Below are 11,288 nucleotides of genomic sequence, written 5' to 3'. Positions count from 1 at the left end.
TAGGAGGATAGCGTAAGTCCAGGAGTTTGAGACCAGCCTGGGCATCATAGTGAGACCCTCCTGCCTCTACAAAAAATAAAAATATTGGCCAGCCATGATTGCATGTGCCTATAATCCCCGCTGCTCAGGAGGCTGAGGTGGGAGGACAACTTGAGCCCAGAAAGTTGAGGTTGCAGTAAGCTGTGATCATGCCACTACACTCCAGCCTGGGCAACAGAGCGAGACTGTGTCTCCAAAAAAAAAAAAAAAAAAAAAAAAGGTGTCATTAAATGTTAAAGGAATGACTGACTACAATACTTCAGGATTCAATCTGCAAAAAGAAAACACGCCCAGCTGAGTATCCTAGAACACTTTCTAGATCATTCTCCTGGAGTTAACCTGAAGAAGTGGTGTCTCTTGCGTACCCTTTCTTCTCTCCATTTCAGCAAAATTGGCAAGAAAGAATTTCTTCACAGGCAAACATACAATTTGAGAAAAAACAAATTTTTATTCTCTGCTCTTAGTATCCTATTTCTGGTTCCTGTGCCCAGAAGAAAGGAATGCCACAAGTTACATGACTGCAAGCAATAGTAAACAAGTGTATTTCACAGTTTGATCTAAAATCTACCTGGAGTTGAATTTTGTGAAAATACAGAGTTTCACAGTTAATACAGTGAAGTTTCTAGAACATGTCATATGAGACTATCTTCACAACTCTGGTATAGGCAGAGGTTTTTAAAACAAAGTACAAAAAGCACGAACTAACCATAAAGGAAAAAATTGATAAAATGAGTAAATTAAAATTTACCAAAAAGTGCTTTTAAGAGAATGAAAAGACAAACCCAGAATGGGAAAATGTATTAGTAATAGATATACCAAACAAAGGGCTCATATCTGGGGAATATATAAAGAGTTCCTACAAAACAGTAAGATAGACCACATGGTGGGAAATTGGCAAAATACATGAATCAACACTTAACGTAAGAAAATATATTCAAAAAGTGTTTAACCTTATTAGGTATGAGGAAAATGCACATTAAAACCCTACTGAAATATCGCTACCTGTCTACCAGAATGGCTGAGATTTAAAAGATCGACAACACCAAGTGTTAGTAAAGATGTGGAATGATAGAAATTCTCACACACTGCTGGTGGAAGTGTAAATTGATACAAATTTGAAAAACTATTTGGCAATATTGCATACCATGCAATCCAAAAATTCTACTCCTGGGTATATACTCAAACGCCATACATTCTTATGTGCACCAAAGGCACATGCAAGGATGTTCATCACAGAAAATTATTTATAATAGCTAAATACTGGAAACAACCCAAATTTCCAATAGTAGAATGGATAAATAGTGGTATATTCATATAATAAAATTTGTTAACCACAAGGGAAAAGAATGAAATATACCTACAAGCAAAAATAACAAAAATATTGAGTGAAAGAAGCCAGACATAAAGAATATATAATAACACTTATAAACTTTCTTAAAATAGGAAAACCTAAATTATAATGTCAGAAGTCAGGATAATGGTTACCTCTGGGGAGAAGGGAGAAGGTAATGATTGGGAGACAGCACAAGGGAGTCTTCCGAGATGCTGGTAACGTTCTTTCATTTTATCTAGGTGATGCTTATATAGGTGTTTTCACTTTGTGGTGATGCCTCGAACTGACGTTGCTTTCTGCATTTTACTGTACATATGTTATACTCCAAATTTTCAGAAAGCATATTTTAAAAAAAGACCTGATCTCTTTGGGATACCTATTTACCTTGGAAAATGCCTGGTTACCAAGAGGAATGTTAGATCATTGACAATGTCTTTCAATTTTCACAGAACTTTTTATAAATATGTCCACTGAATAACATGTTGTACCTATGCAAATCATTATTAAACTTGAAGAGGAGTTTAATCATTGCATTAGTTTTGACTGCCATCTAATGGCAAGAATGTTGAACTATATAGAAGTAAAAAGAACCAGTCTCCCTGCAGTAAGCAAAAGAACATTGATTTTGGCTACAATTTGCAGGACTGCTTTATAGTAGAATTTATTGTTTGCACTCAGTGTAAATATTAGGACATCATGCAAATATTATGCATTCAATTAGGATTGTTAAATCTGAAATAAAACAGAATTTTTCATTTCTTCATGTAAGAAGTTCATGACCTTACTGCAATTTTCATTCTTTCTTTGACCATACATTATAGTCCTTTCAGATTACAGCCCACTTAGTACAGAAAATATTAGGCAGTAGCACAATATGTACAACCAAAAGAGAAAGTTGGCTGGGCATGGTGGCCTACGCTTGTAATACCAGCACTTTGGGAGGCCGAGACCAACAGATTACTTGAGCTCAGAAGTTTGAGACCAGACTGGGCAACATGGTGAGACCCCATCTCTAAAAACAAAATACAAAAATTAGCCAGGTATGGTGGTGCTCACCTGTAGTCCCAGCTACTTGGGAGGCTGAGGTGGGAGAATCGCCGGAGCCTCAGAGGCAGAGCTTGCAGTGAACCGTGACCGCGCCACTGAACTCTAGCCTGGGGAACAGAGAGAGACCTTGTCTCAAACAAAAACAAAAAGGGAGAGGGAGAGAAAGTTAAAAAATTATTAAGTTGAAAATAATCACTTCTGAGCCTCAACTGTTAATTAGATATTTTTTAAGCAAATATTTTTAAAGCAGAGTCCCCTAAAAGGACCTTTAAGACAGCTAGCAACTTCTTGGTGTGTTTCAGCAACATCTATGGAAAGCCAAAAAAAAATGAAGAAAAAACAGAAAAGAGGAAGCTTTGCTTATATTTGTTTAAGCATCCTGCCCCCACCAAATCCAGTTTGCTTATGAAGTAACCAAGATGAATATAGTTTCATCCTCCAGCAAAATGCTCCAACCCCTTTTATTATCTTTAATCCAAATGGAATCAATTGTTTTTGTTTGTATTAACACATTTACGGAGGTACAACTGACATACAATAAACTGCACATTTATAAAGGGATATATGTATGTACTCATGAAACCATCACAAAAATCAAGATAATGAACATATCCATCACTCCCAAAAATGCCCTTATGACCCTTTGTAATCCAAACCCACCTCTCCCATCCCACTCTGTCCCTAGGCAGCTGCTGATTTGCTTTTGATTACAGATAAGATTAGATTTTCTAGAATTTTTCTATAAATAGAATCATACCGTATGTACACCATCATCTGGCTCCTTTTATCTGCTGTGATTACTTTGAATTCATCTATGTTGTTGCTGTATAATTTCTTTTAATTCTGAGTGGTATTCTATTTGGTGGATATATCACAATTTGTTTATCCATTCACTTGCTAAAGGAGAATAGTTTACTTTTTGTTTTACAAATAAAACACTTGTAAATATTACAAATAAAATACTTGTAAATATTACAAATAAAATACCTGTAAATATTACAAATAAAATACTTGTAAATATTACAAATAAAGCTGCTATGAACATTTGTGTAAAAGATTTTGTAGGGGCCAGGCATGGTGGCTTATGCCTGTAATCCCAGCACTTTGGGAGGCTAAGGTGGGAGGATTGCTTGAGGCCAACAGTTTCAGACCACCCTGGGCAGCGTGGCAAATCGTCATCTTTACAAAAAAAAAAAAATTAGCCAGACATGGTGGTGCATGCCTGTGGTCCCAGCTACCCAGGAGGTTCAGGTGGGAAGATTGCTTTAGCCCAGGAGGTTGAGGCTGCAGTGAGCCATAATCTCACCACTGCATTCCAGCCTGAGCAACAGAGTGAGACCCTGTCTCAAGGAAAAATAAAAAGATTTTTTATGAACACATGCTTTCCTTTATTTTTGGAATGAATACCTACAAGTTTTTGCCAGACTGTATAATGATCTGCCAAAGACGTCCATGTCCTAATTCCCTTCTGCCATTTACCTTATATGACAAAAGGTACTTGGCAGATGTGATTAAGTGAAGGGTGGGAAATTGAGGTGGGAAATTCACTTGATTACCAAGGGGGCCCAATGTCATCACAAGGGCCCTTGTAAGAAGGAGGCAACAGAGTCAGAGTCAGACACCAAGTGAAGTGACAACGGAGCTGAGAGAGGGATTGAAAGATGCTATGTTGCTGGCTTTAAAGATGGAGGATGGGAGCAGGAGCCAAAGAAATTCAGCCAGTCTCTAGAAGCTAGAAGGCAAGGAAACTGAATCTCCCCTGGACCCTCCAGAATGAACCAGCCTTTCCAACTCTTGACTGTAGCCCAATGAGATTGATTTTAGACTTCTCACCTCCAGACTGTAAGATAATAAATTTGTGCTGTTTTAAACCACTGAATTGGTGGTAATTTTTTATAGCAGCAATAGAATAATATAATAGAATGTAATGACTGAGTTATATAATAGTGATGGCAACTGCAGCCTGTCTGGAGTGGCCTCAGGCATGACACTGGCTGCAGTGGGGAGGCACCGCTGGGGCTGCGTGCTCCACAGAGCCAGAGGGATCCAGGAACAGATGGAAGCCCCGCCCCTTTCAGAGTTGGAGGGGTAGAAGCCCTGCCCTCCAGGTGCACCTGCAGTCACCCAGCCGGGGTTGTGAACCCAGGCATTCCAAAGCTCTGGGGGCCAGGAAGGCCCCCTACCCCTGCAGGCTTGGAATTGTCTGCTCCTCTCCCTACTCCTGGTGCCTGGTCTGATTTTGGAGCAGAGTTGAGACCCCAGCCTGGGCACTGTCATGACCTGGCCAAGTGTGTATGCTTGGGGCAGCACTGACACACCAGCCCTTGCCACCTCAGTCCGCACTGGACTTTGGGCACTGAGGAGCATGGGAGGGAGGCTGAGAGGGGGCAGAGGGTAGCTCAGTGTGAGCTTGCAGGTGCCCCTCAGCATGAACAGCCTGGGTGCTGGTGAGCACCATGGACAGCAAGTTGACGGCAGCAGGAGGCAGCCAGGCTCCTGGGTGGAAAGAGGTGGTTCCTGGTGAAGTCCTACCTTCAAGCCAGGGATGGCCTGAAGGCTGTGGCCCGGGCTGCCAGTTCCACTGTCTGAAGTGAGAACTTATGGTGCTTTTTTCAGGTTCTCCCATGGCCGCCCACGGACCAATCAACATGCACTTTCTCCATTCTGAAGCCCATAAAAATCCCTGGACTCAGCCAAACTCGGTAGATGACCTGTCTGCAGATTGGAGCTCCCCACTCCAGCTCTAGTCTCCACTGAGGGATGCAGACTTGTCAGGATGAACTGCCTGTGGACAGGAGCTACCCACTCCAGGTCTCATCTCCACTGAGAGCTGTAGAGACATCCAGACAACCTGCCTCTGGATAGGAGCTACCCACTCCAGGGCTTCTCTCTGCTGAGGGCTGCAGACATTGGGATGACCTGCCTGTGGATAGGAGCTATCCTGCCTGTGGATAGGAGCTATCCTGCCTGTGGGTAGAATCCACGCTGAGGGCTGCACAGACAACGGGACAACCTGCCTGCATATAGGAACTATCCACTCCAGATCTCCTCTCTGCCGAAGGCTTCAGAGACATCAGGGTGATCTGCCTGTGGATAGGAGCTACCTACTCTGGGTCTCCTCTCCACTGAGGGCTGCACAGATGATGGGACAGCCTGCCTGTGGAGAGGAGTTACCAACTCCAGGTCTTCTCTCTGCTGAGGGCTGCAGAGACATCGGGGCAACCTGCCTGTGGATAGGAGCTACCCATTCTGGGTCTCCTCTCTGCTAAGGGCTGCACAGATGTTGAGATGACCTGCATGTGGATAGGAGCTACCCACTCCAGTCTCCTCTCTGCTGAGATGATGGGATGACCTGTCTGTGGATAGGAGCTACCCACTCCAGGTCTCCTTTCCGCTGAGGAAGCAGAGATGTCAGGGTGACCTGCTTGCAGAAAGGAGCTACCCACTTTGGGTCTCCTGAGAGCTGTACTGTTGCTCAATAAAACACCTCTTCACCTTGCTCACCGTCCAGTTGTCCACATACCTCATTCTTCCTGGATGTGGGACAGGAACTTGGGACCCCCAAATGGCAAGTCTGAAAGAGCTGTAACACTAACAGAGCTTAAACATGCCCCCCTGCTCACCATGTTGCAGGTGATGAGAAGGAGAGAAGAAAGGAGAGCTGCGACCATTTGGGCAACCCAGACCTTGAAGCTCCCCAAGCCAGGGCTGTGACACCTTCTTTGGGGCTGTGTGGTTCCTGGTGTCTCCTAGCTTCCAGGTGCCACCGTGTTCCCCAGTGCCCCTAGTGGAAGCTGCTTGCAGTATGCCTGGTCCAGCCACAGCCTCACAGGGGGCCGGCACCTGTGTCAGCACCTGGAGCTGCCTGCCCCACTGCAGCCGGCATGCCTGGCTGTGTGCAGTGGCCAGACCCCATGCTCACTCACACATTCCTCACCGCTCTGTCCCTGGCTCACCCTTGGTAGGTGTGGGATCCAGACCAACAGTGCAAGCCAAGTGCAGCCTGACAGGCCAAGTGGGCAAAACAAGCCCCGCAGGCCTGAGCAAAACTTGGGTAAAGGTGCCAATGGCCACAGAGGTTTCCAGCAGGTGAAGCAACACCCCAAAGATCTCATGATAATAGGTTTATGTTTAACTTTTTAGGAAACTTCCAAACTGTTTCCTAAAGAGATTACATCATTTTCAAGTACCACAAGCAGTGTGTGAGTGTTCTGGTTGCTTCACATGTTCACCAAAGACTAGTATTGCTAGTCTTTTTAACATTCTAGTGGATATATGATGGTATCTCATTGTGTTTTAATTTGCATTTTCATAACAAATAATGATGTTGAGCATCTTGTCATGTACTTATTTGCCATCCACATATATTTTTTATGAAGTATCTATTTAAATCTTTTGCCCAGTTTTTTATTTTGAGATGGGGTTTCAGTTTGTTGCCCAGGCTGGGGTGCAGTGGCTATTCACAGTGCACTACATGATCATGGTGCACTACAGCCTCAAACTCCTGGGTGCAAACAATCATACTGCCTCAGCCTCCCAAGTAGCTTGTATGATGGGAATGGGCCACTGTGCCCAGCTTTTTGGCATTTTGAAAATGGAATTGTTTGTCTTTTTATTATTGAACTGTGTGAATTCTTTATATATTTTAGATAACAGTTCTTTTATTGGATAATGTTTTTTCCCAGTCTATGACAATGTCTTCAGAAGAGCAAAAGATTTTAATTTTTGTAAAGTTCAATGGTTTATGGTTGGAAATTTCTGAAACGGTTTTCAACAATCCCTACCTTCTGGCATTTGTGACCTTGTGTAATCCTCTTCCCTTGAATGTGAGTTAGACATAGTGGTTTATTTCTAATGAATAACTTGTGGCAAAGGTGATAGAATATCACCTCAGAATTACACTAGAAAACACTGTGACTTGCTTCTTGCTTGTACCCTCTCCCTGACTCTTCTTTTATCCTCCCTTTGATGAAGCAAGAGGCTCTATTGTGAGCTGCCCTACTGAGAAGCCCACAGGGCAAAACAGAGTTACCCCTGGCCAATAACTAGCAAAGAATTAAGAGCCTCTCAACAACCCTTGAGAACTAAATCTTGAAAACAACAATCAAAAGTGGATCCTTAACCAGCTGAGACTTCAAATGAGAGCACAGCCCCAGTTAAAAGTTGACTGTAGCCTTGTGAGAGACCCTTGAAGCAGAGGTCTCAGCTAAATCATGCTGGGATTCATGACTCACAAAGGTAATAATAAGTACTATTTAAGTCACTATTTAAGGATTAGAGGTAATTTGTTGTCCCACAGTAGATAATTCATACAGTGACTTTTTTCTTTTATGCTTTTTGTATCCTGTTTAAGAAATCTTTGCCAAATCCAAGGTCATGAATATTTTCTCCTTGTTTCTTCTAGAAATTTTATAGTATTAACCCTTACAATTAAGTCTAAGAGCCATTTTGAGTTAATTTTTTGTGGACAGTATGCATATAGTGTGAGGTAAGTGTATATAATCTGTGTATAGCATGAGATTCATTTTGTCACATATAGCAATTCAATTGCTTCAGTGTCATTTGTTTAAAAAAATTATCCTTTCACTATTGAATTGCATTGACCCTTTGTGAAAAATCAATTATATTTCTAATTCCAAACTCTCTATTCTATTCTATTGTCTGTCTTTACACTACCATATCACATTGATTACTGTAGCCTTACCTCTAATTCCAGAGTATCTGCTCTGTTCTATTTTCTATCTACACCAATACCATACCGTCTTGATTACTGTAGCTTTATAGGTCTTAAAATCAAATAGTGTAAATAAATAGCTTTATTATTTTTTAAAGTTGTTTTGGCTGTTTTAGATTCTTTTCATTTTCAAACACATTGTAGAATCAGCTTGTCAATTTCTATTAAAAAATTGCGCTGGCCTTTTATTGGGATTGCTTTGAATCTCCAGGGGGAGAACTAATATCTGACCAATATTGAGTCTTCTGATTCATGAACCTGCCATATCTCTCTGCTGTATTTATTTAGGTCATCTTTAGCTTCTCTCAGCAATGTTTTGTCATTTTCAGTGTGCATGTTTTCAACATCTTTCATTAAATTTATTCCTAAATATTTTAAATTTTCTAGTCTGGGTGCAGTGGCTCATGACTGTAATTCCAGCAATTTGGGAGGCCAAGGTGGGTGGATCACTTGAGGCCATGAGTTATGGACCAGCCTGGCCAACATGGTGAAACCCTGTCTTTACTAAAAATATAAAAATTAGCCAGATGTGGTGGCGCATGACTGTAGTCCCAGCTACTTGGGAGGCTGAGGCACGAAAATCACTTGAACCCAAGAGGTGAAGTTGGCAGAGCCAAGATCATGCCAATGCACTCCAGCCTGGGTGACAGAGCAAGACACTGTCTCAAAAAATTTTTTTCAATGTTATTATAAATGGTATAGGTTGTAGAATTTTGATTCCTGACTGTGGTTAATATTTTTATGTATTTTGTACATTATATATACTTCAATGATGACTCACTTCTTAGTTATATAGTTATATTATCTTTCTTGAGGGGTTCCTTAAGATTTTCTACCTAGATGATTTTGTTGTTCCAAATAAAATTTTCCTTCTTCTTCTATAATTTATATACTGTTACTTCTTTTTATTTTCTTAATAAAATGTTGAATAGAAGAGGTGAGCATGGAGGACCCATCCAGTGGCTCATGCCTATAAACCCCAACACTCTGGGAGACCAAGGCAAGAGGATTACTTGAGCCCAGGAGTTTGAGACAAGCCTGGGTAACGTGGTGAAACCCTGTCTCTACCAAAAATACAAAAAAAAAAAAATTAGCTAGGCATGCTGGTGCACAGCTGTATTCCCAGCTACTTGGGAGGATGAGATAGGAGAATTAATTGAGCCCAGGAGGTCAAGGCTGCAGTGAGCCATAATAGCGCCACTGCATTCCAGTGTGGGTGATAAAGCGAGAACCTGTCAAAGAAAAAGAGGTGAGCATGGACATTTCTTTCTTTCTTTGGAATCTTAGACAGAAAGCATTCAGTTGTTCATGATAAACCATGACGGTAGCTGTAAATTTTTTATATATGGACTTTGTCAGGTAAAAGAAATTCCCTTCTATTCCTACACTGATGAAAGTTTTCGTTAGGAATGAATGTAAGACCTTGTCAAATGTTTTTCTTTCAGCTATTGAGAAGAATTTGTGTGTGTGTGTGTGTGTGTGTGTGTGTGTGTGTGTGTGTGTGTGTGTAGATTAAATTACATTGGTTAATTTTCTAATTTTTTTCACCAGTCTTGCATTTGTGGGATAAACTAGTTTGGTCAGAATATATTAACCATTGTATTCATTACGGGATTTATTTTGCTAACATTTTGTTGAGGAATTTTATTTCAATGTTCATGAAGAACAGTGGCATACAGTTTCATTATCTTCTGTGTTTTTGTTTGGTTTTGGTACCGGGTGAATGCTAGTCTCATATAATGAATTAGGGGAAGTTTCTTCTTCTTCAATTTTCTGAAAGAATTTTTGTAGAACTGTTATTATTTTGCTTTTACATTTTGGTAGACTTCAACAGTGAAGCCATCTGGGCCTGGAGTTTTCTTAATGGGAAAATTTTTAATTAAAAATTTGATTTCTTTAATAAAAATAAAACTTTGCATATTACTATTTCTTCTTGAGTAAGCTTTGGTAGCTTGCCTATTTCATTTAAGTTGTTGAATATATTAGTAAAAAGTTATAATAGTCCCTTATTATCCTCTTAATGTTTATAGAACCTATAATTATGTCACCCTTTCCTTCTCAATATTAGTGATGTGTATCTTCTTTTGTCTCCTATCAGTCAGGCTACAGGTTTATCAATTTTATTGATCTTCTCAATCTGTTTTTGGCTTTATTGATTTTCTCTATTCTTCTTGCTTATTTGTTTTCCATTTCTCTGATTTCTGCTCTTATATTTATTACTTTCTTTGGCTGATTTGGATTTGAATTGTTCTTCTTTTTACAGTTTCCTAAGGTCACTAATTTGAAACAATTTTTAAAATATATATGCCCTTAATGCTATATATTTCCTCCTAAGCACTGCTTTAGCATCATCTCACAAATTTTTCTTTTTACTCAATTCAAATAATTTCTAACATTCTTTTGCTTGCCTTTTTGATACTTGAGTTATTTAGAAGTGTGTTATTTATGTTTAATATCCACCTATTTGGGGATTTTTCAGATATCTTTCTGTTGTTGAGTTCCATTTAATTTTCTTGTTGTCATATTTTGTATATTTGAATTATTTTCAACTTACTGAGACTCGGTTTTTGATCAGAATATGACTTATCTTGGTAAATGTTTTGTGGATATTAGAAAAGAACATGTATTTTGTTGCTGTTGGGTGAAGTATTTGATAAATTTCAATTAGGTCAAGTTGGTTTATGGTGTTTGAATCTTCAATATCTTTACAGATTTTCTGTTTATCTCTTCTATTAAATTCTAATGAGAAAGATGCCAAAGTATCTTACTATAATTGTGAACTTATATATTTTTCCTTGCAGTTCCATCAGTTTTATTTTGTGTATGTGAAGCTTAATTATCAGGTGCATAAACATTGAGAATTGCTAAGTTCTCTTGACCAATTGACTCCTTTGTTTTATCTCATTTTCTTTTCTTTTTTTTTTTTTTTTTGAGATAGGGTCTCACTCTGTCATCTAGGCTAAAGTATAGTGGCATAATCATGGCTCAAGGTAGCCTCAATTTTTCCCGGGCTCAAGTGATCTCCCACCTTAGCCTCCTGAGTAGCTGGGACTACAGGCACTCGCCACCACACCAAGCTAATTTTTTAACTTTTTTTTCACTATGTTGCCCAGGCTGGTCTCAAACTCCTGGGCT

Source organism: Homo sapiens, chromosome 1 (assembly GCF_000001405.40).
Source record: "Homo sapiens chromosome 1, GRCh38.p14 Primary Assembly".
In the NCBI taxonomy this organism is placed as follows: domain Eukaryota; kingdom Metazoa; phylum Chordata; class Mammalia; order Primates; family Hominidae; genus Homo; species Homo sapiens.
Note: the sequence above shows the minus strand (reverse complement) of the source record.